At 48.1% G+C, this 15,974-nt stretch overlaps 2 annotated features.

Annotated features, from left to right (window-relative positions):
• Positions 1,158 to 1,658: an enhancer, noted in NCBI's record as "H3K4me1 hESC enhancer chr7:50920730-50921230 (GRCh37/hg19 assembly coordinates)". NCBI's record gives its function as "activates a minimal SCP1, AML or CMV promoter by ChIP-STARR-seq in primed H9 embryonic stem cells {active_cell/tissue: H9 hESC(primed)}" and the evidence as "EXISTENCE:reporter gene assay evidence [ECO:0000049][PMID:30033119]".
• Positions 1,659 to 2,159: an enhancer, noted in NCBI's record as "H3K4me1 hESC enhancer chr7:50921231-50921731 (GRCh37/hg19 assembly coordinates)". NCBI's record gives its function as "activates a minimal SCP1, AML or CMV promoter by ChIP-STARR-seq in primed H9 embryonic stem cells {active_cell/tissue: H9 hESC(primed)}" and the evidence as "EXISTENCE:reporter gene assay evidence [ECO:0000049][PMID:30033119]".

The following is a 15,974-nucleotide window of genomic DNA, read 5'->3' on the forward strand; positions in this document are numbered from 1 at the left end:
ATGGAAGAAGCATCACCTGAAAAGTACCCACTTATCTACGTTTACTGAACAACATACTATGTCTCTCTTGGGTGAGATGAATACAGTGAATTTTTCCTTCAGAGAGCGGTGGCCAAAGGTGGGTGGAAGAGTTTCATGAAGGCTGAGATTGTGTGTTGTGATCTAATGGCGGTGCATCTGAAGTGTGTCCGTGCTGGCAGGGAGCCACTGACTGCTCTGCTAGCTGTGGCTGAGGGAAGCCTCCTGCAGGAGCTAATATTCCAGCTGGGTGTGGTCGGGAACTAGACCTTCTCCAGGTGGAAAGCGGGGCAAAGGAGGTTCTTGGGTAGGATTCCTGAAGTTGGGAAATGGAGGACAAAGGAGATAGGCACTGGAACCAGGAGGGCAGGGCTGAGGAGTTACAAAATCAGGGGCAAGGGAGATAGCAGAGGTGTGCATGTGAGTGTGTCGGCCTGTGTGTCTGTGTGCAAGTGTGTGTGTCCATGTGTGTCTTTATGTGCTTGTGTATATGTGTCTATATGTGTCTGTGTCTATTTGTGTGTGTAACTGTGTCTGTGTCCGTGTATATGTGTGTGTGTCTGTGAGTCTGTATATCTGTGTGTGTAAGTGTGTGTATGGCTATGGGTGTGTGTGTCTCTTTAGTGTGTCTGTGAATCTGTGTGTTTGTGTGTGTGTGTGTGCCGATTTGTATGTGTGAAAGTCTGTGTGATTTATGTATGTATCTCTGTGTGTCTGTGTATGTGTGTATGTGTTTATCTGTGTGTCTTTATGTATGAGTGTGTTTCTGTATGTCTGTGTGCAAGTCTGAGTGTATGTTTTTGTGTGTATGTGTGTCTCTTTATGTGTGTCTGTGTGTATATAAATGTGTGTTTATGTATGTGTGTTTCTGTGTATGTCTTTATGTGTGACTGTGTGTGTCTCTGTGTTTGTGTCTGTGTGCATGTCTTTGCCTGTGTATATGTGAGTATATATATGTCTGTGTGTGTATGTGTTCATGTGTGTCTCTGTGTGAGTGTGTCTCTGTGTTTGTGTCTGTGTGTGTCTCTGCCTGTGTATATGTGAGTATATATAGTTCTGTGTGTGTATGTATTTATGTGTGTCTCTGTGTGAGTGTGTCTCTATGTTTGTGTCTGTGTGCATGTGTGTGTGGGTGCATGTGTGTGGCTCACTTAACTTCCACCCCTTAGGACCACCTGGCAGGAATTTCCTAAAGGAATGTGGGTCCTCACTGGAGTCAGGCTCAGAGCTTCAGGCTGACTCATCTGTCTTCCCAATCCAATTCTCCTGCCAGTTCTTGCACCCCTGCAAACCCACCAGTGGGAGTGCTGGATGGGCCCTGGACACTTGGCTAGGCTGCAACAATATTTCCTAGAATCTCTTGCCCTAGTAGGATAGTTTTGGGTAAGGGTGAACAAAAGAGGAACTTGTGAGATATTTGAGAGGCAGGAGTGAAGTGGCTGCCATGACTCTGAGAAGGCCATCTTGCTCAGACGTGGCGACAGACAGATGCAGGATGCTCTGTGTCTCCCACCTGCATTCTATGCTCTGCACCCAGCTCTTCTTCCTGCCTTCAGCCGCTGCTGGCCAAGAGTGCCCCAGGCTAACAACCAGACACCTGTGCAGACCCAGAGGGGCAGCCGCCACCAGAGGCATCAGCTCCTCAAAAGCTTCTCCCTGAGCTCCCTGCTGCAGTCACTTTGCTGGCTGGACATGCTATTGGCCTCCTGGCTTTCCTGACATGCTCCCATATGGCTACTCACACCATTCTAAGGCAGGCTGGTTGGTGGCTCCCTTTCCAGACCTTTACTCCCCAGCATGTGGGTAAGGCTTAACTCCAATAAGGCAAGTTGCATTTCCACCATGCTCACGGTGGTGGTGGCTCCACTCCCCAGGGCCCCTGGACTGATACCGTGGCTGTCCAGCCTGGGTTTGCATTTTCCTCTCTGGGTTGAAGAACTGCTTCTCCTTCTGCCCACAGAGCCTGGTTCCATTGCAATCTCTAGTCCAGTCCTTCTACCCTATGGTAAGTCCTTCTGATATTTGTAAAGCTGCCACATCCTCCCAAGTTTTCAGAGGTATTGAAGCAGATGGTCTGGGTAGGGCCAAGGAATCTGAATTTCTTTAACCAGGCTTCCTCCCCACCAGGAGATTCTTCTGTAATACACAGGTTGTGTTCTAGATTAGCCCAAGGCAGCCATGGACACTATACCACATCCCCTGGCTCTTTTGTCTATACTGTTCTTTGTCTATTTCCTGTCAGTTTCACCTTCTGATTTTAGATAATGGCAGTTCACCTCCATGTCTTCAGAGGACAGTTGCTGCTATATTACCTGTTGCTAAATAAATGTTTGAGAGAAGAAAAGGAAGATGGAGAGGTGGAAACAGTGAAGATGAAACAAAGGGCCAGTCCTGGGCGGAGGTCAGGTTCAGCGCAGGCCCTAGAGGTAGGGGATAGACAGGAAGCAAGGGCACCTGCAGGGCTGGGACATTTGTCTGCCCCCAGCATAGGTCCAGGCAGGGCACACCTGCCTTCTCTGTCCATGGTCCAAGAGGCTTGACTTCAGACAGGTGGGAAGCAGAGGCTTTCGGAGGTTGCCCCTGCTCTGACTGGCCCCAGGAGCTTCCAAGACAGCTAAGTGAGGACTGGGTGCACTCCGTTGGCAGATAGAGGCAGTGTGGCCCAGGAGGACAGACACAGGCTCTGGGGCAGACAGACACGGTTCATATCCTGGCTGCCTCTCGTTTTAGATGAGCTCCAGAACTGGGGTTCCTGTAGTACCTACGTCATCAGGGTATGGTGAGGATTTGCAGGAATGACAGAGTGCCAAGCACAATTCCTGCACACAGCAGGTCGCCAGCAGATGCCACGTCCCTCCATGTCACACACACTCCTCTCAGTCCCCTTCAGTCATGACAAAATACACCCCTGAGCTGCCCGGCACTGAGGCCAGTCATCTCCTTCTATCCCTATGGCTGTTTTCACCCCAGGAACTTAGCTAGTTTGCCACTTTGCATTTTGGGGTGTCTGGGTGCTCTTTTGTTTTCCCATACTAAGCAAAGAACTGGGAAATGGTGAGCTGTGGCTCAAGGATGATTCTAGGCCTGACGGACTGATTGTTGGATTATGGGGAGAACCTGTTCTGCCAGGTTTCCTTATATTTAGCAAACATCCTGGGGGTGATTTAGGAAGGGTTGCTGATATCCCGAGCCCAGGCATTTCTCTGAAGATTGTCGTCACCAGGTAAATGGCAGGGCCCAAAGAATGATGCTATATCCTCCCAGCAGACAACCACCACCTCACTTCCTCCTGTCCATGATCCAGCCTCCTATGATGAGCAAATAAGTTTTGCACATTCTTGGGACACATCAGGAAGCCCAGCCTAGAAGTTTCTGAGTGCTCTGACACATGGGTGTCTGAGGGAGACAGTGATGGTCACAAGAAACAGAAGCCCCTCAAGCTCGACAAGGTGAGTACCTGATGAAGTCCAGGTAGGGGTCTCCAGGCCTTTCCCAGTGGCAGGAACTGGGAGTGGAAATCCATCAGGAGACAGGAGCAGTGGTTTTCGCAGTTCTTGCACTGTCCTTGGGGCTACTTCCTCTAGTCTCTCTGCTCTGCGTGCTCTATCTGTGATAGCCTCCAGCCTCACTCTGCAGCAGAGCTCTCCTCTTCCTCATCAGCGCACACAGCCCCAAAGGACCGAGAGCCTCCAGCTACTGCTAGCATCAAAAGCTGTCCTGAGCCCCCTTATCTCTTAGTTCAAATTTTTCATAGAGAAAGAATCTGATTTGCCTGTTGAGCATGCTCCTTCACCTTCCCCATCCTCAGCCTCTGAGGCAGGCTGGACAGCAGAATGGAGTCTTCTCCAGAGGCTGGGGCAGCTCATGATAGCACATAGAGCTGCGGACCACTGGAGGTCTGAGGCTACCGCTCAGAGGACAGGTGCAGTCCAGGTCACTCACTGAGCGGGTTTGCCAGAGGTAGGACTCCTCACAGCAAGTCTTTGAAAACACTGGGCTTCAACTTACATTTAGGCAACCTTGTCTGTGCTGGGTGGTATCATGGCATGATGGGCTAGTGCATAGGCACAAGACTGCTCCGTTGCAGAGCTGAGTCCACAGCCTGACCTTCCACATAGACGTCCAGTGTTCCACTCATGCAGCCGTGACCCACAGGACCAGGCTTGACCAGGCCATGAATGCAAATGCAGCCTGATAAGCCAGTGACTTTAGGTCCCCTCTCCAATATGGCAAGTCAGGTCCTTTACAGACCTTCTCCTTTCATTTTTGTATCTCTGGGGTGCTTAGAAAACAAATTCTAGTTAAAAAATTCTGGCCAGGGCTGGAACGAAGCCAGGTCTAAGCAGCCTTGGAGATCCTGTAGATCTGTGGAGGTACCTGTGTGAATTAGAACTTGGCTCCCATCTCTCTTTTTTGCCACTCCCTTTCTCTCCAGTGACAAAGCTGACAAAGTTGGCTGCCCTGGGACCTGGTTCCTATGGACTTCTGCGGGCTCTGAGCAGGTCAGCCTGCATCTTCCAGGCAGTGATAGCTTCTCCCAGGTGAGAGGCAGGACAGTCCTCCTCCGTGGCACCCTCAAGCCCCAGAGCTCCAGTTCCTTCTGCAGGCCATGCCATTGATGGCACCCGCTGCCACCGCAGGTTTCTTGAACACAGGGATGAGTTCCCAGTTCAGGCACCTCACACTCTGACTTCATCTTGGCCACTGTAGGTGGCCAGCACCCCAGGGATATCAGAAACAACTGCAGCTGGAGAGGGGCTTCTACAAGACCTGACTTGTTGCTTCAGAGAGAGGGGACCTGTGCTCCCTAGAGTGCCCTTCTCTGGCCATTCCCACTCAGGACCAGGATGCCACACTCTGAGAATCTGAGACACATGAAGGGGCCACAGGTAGGTGCTCTGGTCTCAGAGGAGCACCCCCTGCCCACACCTCAGCCATTCCGGCACAGGCTGTGGACAGTGAGTGAGGAAGCCACCTGGAAAGGAGCCCACTATTGCTTCATGCAAACCACCCCAAACTCAGTGGCATAAGATAGTCACTTCCTTATGCTCAGGAATCCATGGGTCGGGAATCAGGGCCTGGGAAGGCCTTTCTCTGCTCCCTGGTGACTGGGGCTAGCTGGGAAGACTGGAATGCCTGGGACGAGGCAGACAGCCAGGGCTGCGGGCCCCTTTCCAGGTGGCTTCCTCACTCACTGTCCACAGCCTGTGCCGGAATGGCTGAGGTGGGGGGTGGGGGGTGCTCCTCTGAGACCAGAGCACCTACCTGTGACCTCTTCATGTGGCTCAGATTCTCAGAGTGTGGTATTCTGGTCCCGAGTGGGAATGGGCAGAGAAGGGCATTCCAGGGAGCAGAGGTCCCCAGAGAGCTGCACAAACTTCTCTGAACAAGCCTTGAAGATCAGCTCATCACTTCTGTCTCATGCTATTGGTGGACACAGCAACAAGCATCCTCAGATGCAAAGGGTGGAGACACAGATGCACCCTCACTGCAAGGAATGCCCAAGTCACTCACACAATAAGACAGCATTGGAGTGACAAATATTGTTACAGCCATCTTTGGGAAAGACAGCCTACTGTGCCCCAAGCTAACAATTCTTTCTTAGCCTTATTTATGCTTTAGTGTTCAATACCCAGGGTGGCTCCAGCCAAGGGCAAACTGGTGGGGCAGTGTCTCCCTGACTACTGGAGAGACAGGACACAGACACACAGCTGTCTCCACCAGCACGGAGGATAGCCTAACCAAGTCCCCCTCTCTCCATTCCAATTTCTCCCTGACTGTAAGGAACCTGCTATGTCACCTTCCTGTGTAGGGAGACAGAAGAAGACTGAGCTTCAAAGGGTAGGTTTTTGTTTGTTTGTTTTTTTGTGTTTTTTTCTTTTTTTTTTTTGAGATGGGATGATTTGTTGTTTCAAATTTTCAAATATTTTGGAGTAATTTTACTTGGGATTCAGGTCAAAGTCCCTCATGTCTCTATTCCCCCAGTTTGGCCAGCAGGTATGGGGGGTTGCTGAGGAATGGGAGCTCCGTGGTGAGATGCCGCAGAGGCAGCACCTTCCATCTGCAGCAGCTGACAGCAATCCCCAGAGAGGTCAGATTCATGTGCCCTTGGGTGCCTGCCAGGCTCAATGTGCCTTCCAGGAAGAGACTCTGGGAGCCATTACCAGCTGTCAAAGGGACCCTCTGTGAGTATGGACACCTCAGCTTCTGGGAGGGGACAGGATGCATTGTGTTTAGGTCACAGTTGGATGTCCCTCTTAAGGAAATGTCAGTTTCAGGAGTGGCAGGAGTGTTTACTGTTTGAGCTAGATTTTTTCTTTTATTGATACATAATGTTTTACATATTTATGGAGTACATGCAAGTGTTTTTTATATGCATAGAGTGTTCCATTTGCCCCCAAGATACACTCAGCTCTGTTTGTCCACTGCTCTGTGCTCCAGGAGGCTGGACAGTATGGGCCACATTAATAGACTGTCCTTCCCCCGGAAATACAGTTCGGTTCACACCTGCTAGAGATCAGAGGAGGAATGAGCAGAAGTCGGTGATTTATTTCTTGGCTTCATCTCTGTGGCATTTTCCTAAACTGGCCGAGGTTGAAGGCAGGCTTGTGCCATATGCTGCTGGTAGGTGAAATGGGTGACTGCTGCATTGCAGCCCCACCCAGGGTGACCTGAGACAGGGATGAAGGAAAGTCCTCCAGGTGGGCAGAAGTCATTATTTGCTTCATACAGTGAGACAGGAGGCCTAAGGTACAGATATGTGTGGACTCCTGGGTCTTGGAAAAGAAATGAGTTGGACAGGACTGGGAAGGGACAAGACTGGAAGACTGGGGACAAGGAAAGCTGGGCAGGGGTTGTGTGGTACACCTGTGGATCTGAACACACATCTTTGTGCTGTGTGTTGATGCCACCAGAAGAGCTGCTGAACCACAGCTGGACTGGACTGTTCCTACTGCCATGCCAGCCAGTATCTCTCCTAGGCATGCTTGCTGCTCTATGGCTCCCCATGATGGGGATGCCATGATAGCAACGTGAGTAGCTTTGTGTGAGCTCAAAGGCATGAACTCTTCATCATAAAGTCTCAACCAGCTGCAGTTATAGCAGAACACCCAACTTGTCAGTAGCAAGGGCCAATGCGGGGCCCTCAGTGGCATTGTGCCTTGAGGAGACCAACTAGTCACTTGGCGAAAGGTCAATGGCATTGGACACCTTCCACCATGGAGGAGCACCCATCTATGTTCACCATACCCACTGTGGGTGTGAATCTGCCTTTCTAGTCCCTACCATCTCTGCCAGCATCACCAGCTCAAGGTTGACCGAGTAATCCTTTACATGATCTTCCTTCCAGACCAAGTGTTGCAGGTTGAATTGTGCCCTCCCAAAAGACATGCTGAAGGCCTAACCCCTGGTATCTGTGAATGCGACCTTACTTGGAAATAGGACCTTCCTAAATATAATCAAGTAAAGGTGAGGTCATACTGGATGAGGGTGGGCCGGCTTAACTAGAACCCTCATAAGACAAGGGGAAGATGCACAGACACACAGAGAGGTACACGACCATGGGAGGACAATGGCAGACTGGAGGGATGGGATTGCATGACAAGAAATACCGGGCATTGCTAAAACCATCAGAGAGGAGACAGGCTTGGAACAATCTCCCTCGAAACCTACAAGGGGAACCAACTCTGTGAAGAGGTGGATTTCAGGTTTTTAGCCCCAGATTTGGGAAAAAATCCATTTTGGTTGTTACAAACCATCCAATTTATGAAACTTTGTTTGGGAAGCCCCAGGAAACGAATATACCAAGTGCTGCAGACTGAACGTCTAGGTTTCTCTGAAAATTCACACGTTGAAACCTTCATCCTAAGGTGATGTGGAGACAGGGAATTGGAGAGGTCATTAGGTCATGAGGGTAGAGCCTTCATAAATGGACTCAGTGGCCTTAGAAAGGAGACCCCAGAGAGCTCCCTTGCCCCTTCCTTCATGTGGACACAGCAGGAAGACAGGCTGTGAACCAGGAAGCAGGGTCTCACCTGACACTGAAACTACCGGTGCCTTGGCCTTGAATATCCCAGCCACCAGTACATTTCCATTGTTTATAAGCCACCTGGTCAATGGTGTTTTGTTATAGCAACCCAAACAGACGAAGACACCAATGAATCAATTTAATAGCAAAATACGTGCAACAATAGGCACGTGACCGCAGGATCCACTGCTCTGACCATGTACTTCATATACTTTCCACACAGAAGCAACTGGCCTATGAGAACAGTGAATGGCCTGTGGAAAACTGAGCCAAGATCAGTCAATGGCCAACATATGGTGCCACGTTCCCAACAGCTAGAGTAAGTGCATCTGAGAAGTCAGGGGTGGAAGTGGGATTGATCCTTCTCCCCATCACTTCCAGGAACCCCTTTTGGAGTCTGTGCTTTCTGTCCCTGTCAACACAGGCTCTGCTTGGTTAAAAGGCCTGGTTCCAGGGGAAACTGCGTCCCCAGGGTGACAGGACAAAGTAAGGGCTCTGTGGAAACGTAAAGGTCAACTCCCACCCGGCTCAAGTGAACTCACAAGGAAAGCAAGGACTTACTGCCCTTATGGATTACTGCTGGGAACTTGGGGTGCTGCCACACCACGCACACAGAGGGAATGTGTCTGAAATATTAACTGCCATGTTAGGAACTTTGACTACTGGGGCTGGGAGTTGGCAGGTTAAATTCTTCTCTCTTCCTCTCTCCTATCTCCCTGCACTGACTCCCCTGAGACCAAGTGGTGCTTGGCTACTCTGAGTGTGGCCTGTGAGACTTAAAGGATGGCCCTTGATACTGAGTAGTGGCCAATGTGGGGATGCATCTCCTATTTGTCCTCCCCCAATCCAACCTCCCTCCTATTCTCCCCAACTCCTGCCAGCCTGGGCTTGTCCTCCCTGATCAAGTATCCCATGTATACTTTGGCTTCAGCCTTTGCTTTCCCAGAAACCCAGGTCAAACCAGCATAACATGGCGAGGAGGGCATGCAATCCTGGAGACAGAAGCGGTGTAAGGGTTCAATGTTCTGCAGATGAGGACTTCAGCAGTTTATATTAATATAAAATCTTGCTTTCTTTCTACCCACAACGAACTCATATTTCAGGAGTGACATTTTGAAGGGATATTATGTTATCGGTGGTTCATATATCTTCCTCTAGATCTTAGCCACTCCTCATTCCCTTGTCCCCACCCAGGCTTCCAGGACACTGTTTCCAGCACAAACTTTGATGACAGCAAGTCCTCACTTACCTGGAAGTTGACATAATCTTCCTTCAATGAGAGGTGACTGAGGGATGCTGTGTTGGAAATTGAGGAGGAAGGAGCTGTGGTGTCATACTGACAATGCCAGTCAGAGCCAAGGCAGCCCACTCACACCTCTCTGGGACCCACAGGGCAGCTGCAAACCAAAATTCAAAAAGGACAAGTTGGGCCGTCAAGCCCCAGACAGCCAGGTATACCTCATGCTAAAGCTTATGATCTTGTCTGCGGAAAGAATATGGTTTTCTAGGTTAGAATTCCAACCCTTCCAGGTTAGAATCCAGCATCTGACCTTTATGAGCTGTGTGACCCTAGGCAAGCTCCTCAACCATTCTTATTTAGGCAACCTTTTTCACAGAGGTGATTTGAGCTTTAATGAGATGATATATGGAGAGCACCTGACACACACGAATAACTTAAGAAATATAAATGCCCTCTTCAAACAGGAGTGGGGTGGAAACATCAAGGAGTATTATGGATTGTATCCAGAAACCAGAAATAAGGATGAGTTCTTAGACATTAGACCAGATGATATCTGCCTCCCACTGCTATCATGCGAACGAGCATATTATTCACGGAGCCCATTGCCTGATACTTGATAAGTAGATGCTCATTGCTGTTATCCAATGGTGAATTCTCTCACAGTCCTGCATAAAAGTATGCAATGAACAGGGAGCCCTGTGGCTTGCTGAGCTGGTGCAGATCAATAGGACAGGTTCAAGTCCTCCTCTTCCACTATGGCCATGATGCATTATAAAGAACCATTGGAAAAAGACTTGGAGGAAATCGTGTCAGCTTGAGCACACCCTTATCAAATCAGAACAGCGGGACAGACCCTGTGAAGTAGGAAGGTAGAGTCAGACCCTCGGGGACCAATCCTGGAGCCTTAGGTTTCTAGCTTTGTAAACTTGGGTAAATTACTTAACCTTTCCCTTCAATTTCCTCATCTGTAAAATAAACATGACTTCCACCTCATGGGTGGTTGTGAGGATTAAATGCAAGAAATAGACATGAAGTCACTGGAAGAGTAGAGGGTCCACGGTAGCCTTTTAGGAGGCAGATGGTGCAACTCTGTTAACGGAGAGAAGGATGAAGTTTTGTGGAATCTACTGGAAGGAAATGAAGATCCTTCACAAATCCCCTCAAAATTTTCAAAATTGATGGTTTAGACATCCAAGTTTCCTCTCTGGTTCTTTAGCTGAAAGTTGTCTGAAATAATATGATCTCATAGCTCCTGAACATAGTTGATGGGATCTGTTTTTCATGACACTGTGTCCATTTGCATCCTCCAAGATGTGAAAAAGCATTTGGTAATATTCTCCCCTGCAGGTTTCCTGAAATGTAGATAGACTCTGCCAGCAGGGGTGTGATGGACGGTAAGCCACACCAAGGACACTGGCCATCTGTATTAATCAGGTCCTTTTCTTTCTGAGATTTTTGATACTTTGACATCTGGGGTTTTGGTGACTCTCAACTACCCTTCCCAGGGCTAGATGGAATGACTTCCTGCCTTGCATATGCAAACCAACCAGGCCAGAACCCTTATCTTCTTTATGGAGACCTTCTTTATCGAGCTCTTACACTCTGGTCCACTATGTACCTGTCCTCATCCCCCAGGTCAGGTACCAGGCAATTAAGGGCAATTAAAATCTATGCCTCAGGGTGGATCACTTGAGGTCAGGAGTTCAAGACCAGCCTGGGCAACATGGTGAAACACCATCTGTACTAAAAATACAAAACTTAGCCAGGTGTGGTGGCACATGCCTGTAGTCTCAGCTACTCAGGAGGCTGAGGCACGAGAATCACTTGAACCCAGGAGGCGGAGGCTGCAGTGAGCCGAGATTGCACCACTGCACTCCAGTTTGGGTGACAGAGCGAGACTCCGTCTCAAAAAAAAAAAAAAGATTCTATGCCTCAGAATCTGTTGAAAAATTTCAAAGTAGCCAATCCTAAGCCACTTGTTTTTCTGGTTCCTTCCTGTGGAAACCACACCAAAGGCCCCTGCCCACACTTCCCCAGCTCCTTTGGCCTCCTGGTGGACCCTGGTTCTTCCCCATGTGACCTGCATGGTGTGTCATGCTTCCGGCTTCTAGGAAACTCTGAGTATCAATATCTTCCTTCATGACAGTCATTTCAATGTCTATATGTCTTACCTGATTTACCCTTGTGACACATTAATTAGCTTCTCTGCCCTTTAGGGACAGAAGGGCACATATATAATTAAAGTGAAACTAAGAAAACCATACTTTGTGGAACAGCCAGACATTTCAATTACATTCTGCTTCCAAGTGCCAAACATCACAGCTGAGACTCAGGTCTACAGAGACCCCTGCATCTTTATCACCTTTCAATATCTTGTCTACACTGGCATGTGTTGATGGCTCCCTAAGCTGGCTCTCCCACTGGCTGCAAGCTTCTTGAGGATAAAGTTCCTAGTTTTATTCAATTTCTGTCTTCCTTATGTTGTAGAGAGTCCAATACTCAATAGGCCCAGAATGCATGGTTATGAAATGAATGATTGGAAGACTACGGTTCCATTGCTCTGGTGTCACGCCCACCCCAAGCCCTGATGAATGTGTCACCATCATTGCAGATAAGTCTATTAGTCTGCTCCGGCTGTGGGGTATAATCAAAAGTATGTTTGGTCTCTGTCCCAGGTTCCTGTCCCACAGCTCCTTGAACTCTGGAAATTGCCTGAGTGATGAGTGTCTCTTGTTATTCATAATGAGCCCCTTTGGCTAACACTCAGGTGTTAGCCAAAGGCATAATGCTCAGGCGGTGATTTGGGGTGGGGTCCCTATGTAGCCTCAGGCTGGGACCAGTCACTCAAAAGACCAAGTGATCAGAAAAATAGAGGGTTGGAACTTTCAGCCCCATCCACCAACTTCCAAAAAGTTGGGGGAGCTGGAGATTAAGGTCAATAAAAACTCTTGAACAATGATGTTTGAGGAGCTTCTGGATTGGAGAATACATCCCTGTGCCGAGAGGATAGTGGACTCCCACTCCACGAGGACAAATGTTTCTGCACTCAGGACCCTTCCAGACCTTGCCCCATGTACCTCTTTATTCCAGTGGCTATCTTTATCCTTTATAATAAATCAGTAAACATAAGTTAAGTGTCTCCCTGAGTTCTGTGAGCCATCCTCCTAAATTATTGGACCCATGAGGGCAGTCATGGGAACACTAATTTATAGCATGTTGGTCAGAAGCACAGGTCACAGCCTGGGCCTTGTGATTGGCATCTGAAGCCGGGTTGGGGCGGGGTGGGGACAGCCCTATGGGACTGAGCCCTTCTCCCATGGGATCTGATGCTGTCTCCAGGTAGATAGAATGGAACTGAATTGTAGGACATCCATTTGGTGTCCACTGGATAATTGCTTGGTGTGTAGGAGAAAACCCCACACACCTGGTCACAGAAGTGTTCTGTGTTGTGAGAGGATAGGAGCAAACAGTGCGCATTCCTCAGAGGCTGCTGCAACAAAGTCCCCCTAAGTGGGTACACTTAAACAACAGACACTTATCTTCTCACAGTTCTGGAGGCTTAGAAGCCCACTGTCAAGGTGACAGAAAATTGTTTCTGGTGGGGCTCCTTTCCTGGCCTGTGATGCCCCCTTCTCACCACTATGTCCTCCCATGGCCTTTCCTCTGGGTTCCTGCAGTGAGAGAGAGTGCTCTGCGTCTCTTCCTTTCTCACAAGGACTGCAGTGCTATTGAATCAGGGCCCCCCCTTGATGACCTCATTAACCTTAATTGCCTCCCTAAAGGCCCTACTGCCAAATACACAGTATCCTCAGGGATTAGGGCTTCAACGGATGCATGGGGATGGAGTGCAATTCAGTCCACAGCAATAAGGAATCAAGAGACGGTTTGCAGTCCCAGAGCTGTAACATGCTGGTGGGTCGTGCTCATTTGTTAAGAGTGGCAAAGTTTGATGCTAGTAAAGCACCAAAGTTTGTGGATGATTTACTAACAAACAACTAGAATAGCCCCTCCATCACATCCCATCATTAACCTGCATACCGTGATATACTCCTGGGTTACAGAAGCTGCCTCTGGAATTGTGTATAACTTTATAAAACTTCATATTGCCCAAGGCAGGGGGTCCTGTAAGGAAGCGTCATCACATGTCGTGGCGGATACAATATTGAGATCTCCAGGCTTAGCAGACCACGAGTGCTGCGTGCTTCGCGATGGAAACAGGTGTGAACCTGAGATGGCAGTGATCACATGAGTGGGGGCCTGTTGATGCAAATGTTGAGTCAGCTACTTGGACACTGTTCGTTTTTAGCAGGGTATTCCTCACAGCATGCTAATTGTCATTATTATTCTTGTCAATGTTTTTTTGGCTAAGGAAATAACAAGGAAGCAGATTCTGAAATTGGACACAGGATTGGTAAAAGTCCTGTGCACATTGGCAGGTACAGCAATGGGACTTTCCAAACGCTCTTTCTACACAAATTCTCTTGCCAGCTCAGCGCTTTGAATAGGACGTATCCTGAGGGAATGTTTCCCAGATCCACAGGGAGTGGCCCTGGTACGTTCTAGTATATGGAGCTAGATTGCTCCCTTTAAAATAGTTGTTTTGAATTAGAAATAGCCTTATGTGCTAACATGATACTAATACCTTTGATATCTCTGTATTTCTGTTACTATTTTATTTCCAGAAACATAATTCAAACCTTTTACTTGTTTAGTTTTCCACTGCAATTTACTGATAAAGTATGCTGGCTAAATTGCTTATGGTTTATGTTTTACAGTGACTAACTTTCTAGCTCCTAAGAGCGTTGGTATTATTGCAGAAAAACCTATAGCACAAAGGGCCTGAGCTTCCATTGGGAATCTTGGGGTAGGTATCTTAACCTCTCAAAATTATGCTGACCTCATATGTATTGGATAAACAATTATTCATTTTCTCACTCAACTCACACATTTATTTATTAATGCAAGGAGTTTCCATTGTATCTATCGATAACCCACTGTCATCCACTACCTTTGACTCCATTCATTTCTATAAGGAGAACAGCCACAAGGGTTCTCAAATTCTTTGTAGTGAAAGATCAGTTTGATTTTTATTTTTGACTCATTGCAGATTAATCTTTTTATAAAGTAAAATAGAAATAAATTACTAAAAAAAGATGCAAATGATAAATCCCAACTTCTAATTATTAGGTTCAACATACATTCAATAGGTATAATTACCATAACTATGCCACAATTGCTCTGAAAGTTTCTGAACATTGTCAATATACATCTCAATTGCAGCTTGGTAACTGATGGTTTGGATATTCATCCCCTCTAAATCTCATGTTGAGATGTAATCTCCTGTGCTGGAGGTGGGGCCTGGTGGGCGGTAGTGGATCATGGGGGTGGACCCCTCACGAATGGCTTAGCACCATTGTCTTGGTGATGAGTGAGTTCACGTGAGAGCTGGTTGTTTAAAAGTGTGTGGCACCTCCTCTCTCTATCTCTTGCTCCCTTTTTTGCCATGGGACGTGCCTGCTTCTCCTTCACCTTCTGCCACGATTGTAAATTCCCTGAGGCCCGCACCAGAAGCAGATACCAGCGCCATGCTTCCTGTACAGCCTGCAGAACTGTGAGCCAATTAAACCTCTTTTCTTTATAAGTTACCCAGCCTCAGGTATTTCTTTACAGCAACCCAAGAAGGTGTAATACAGTAGCAAAGAGTTCCTGGACCAGCGTCGATTCCGCAGACTACACTCTGAGTAGCCCTGGAGAAGAGAGATCCTTCTGTGGACTTCCCATCACAGCAAACAGCAATACTGTGCTCCAGCCAAAACCCATGGTGCCGTCCTGGGCAAATTTGGCTTTCTCAGGTTGGTCCTAAGTTGGACCTGGGGGCAAAAATTAAGGAGGCTGTCAGTTATTAATGAGGTCTCACTGTTTGGGACTGATTGTTGCACTGGCTATTGTTTGGCTTTTTTGGCTGGTTGCTAGAGCCCTGGGGCTGGCTTCCCGGGCAGGTTGCTGGGGGATGTGGGTCAGATTCTATTTTTATAGATGGTCTGGCCATTGTCATTTGTATATTCAGTCTCTCAGCGGGGATGAGGGTGGGGGCAGAGTCTACCATACGCTCTCCCCGACCCCAAGGTTTTGTCTTCTTTTAAGTTGTATCACACATGCCTGCATCAGTTGCATTACATAATGACAAAAGAAATAACATTATACAGCAGTCAATGCTTCCAGATATGCTAGCATAAGCCCCAAACTATTAATATATGTTTTAGTTTGTTTGGACTGTTATGAAAAATCTCTGTTGTTTACAAACAACAGAAAATTATTTTTTTGCCCTTCTGGTGGTCGGAAAGTCTCGGATTCGTTCAGGTGTCCGCTGAAGGCTGCTTCCAAGGGGCGCCTGTTGCTGCCCTTCCCGGGAGTGAGCGCCGTGTCTTCCGTCCTGCGGCGGAAAGCAAAGGGGGCAAACTCTGTGTAGCCTACTTTATAAGGGCTATGATCCCATTCAGAAGGGACTGTGAATCCCACCCATGACCTAGTCACCTCGTAGAGGCCCCTAAAGCTCATATAAAAGGCAGCACGGGTGCAGGAACACAGCTTCCAGGGGCGCAGGGGATGGCCTGGCTTCTGTGAACTGACTGGCGAGATGAGGCTTTTTGGATGAAGGATTCTAAGATGTATCTCTTTCGAAAAGAGCAC

Source organism: Homo sapiens, chromosome 7 (assembly GCF_000001405.40).
Source record: "Homo sapiens chromosome 7, GRCh38.p14 Primary Assembly".
Taxonomy (NCBI): Eukaryota; Metazoa; Chordata; class Mammalia; order Primates; family Hominidae; genus Homo; species Homo sapiens.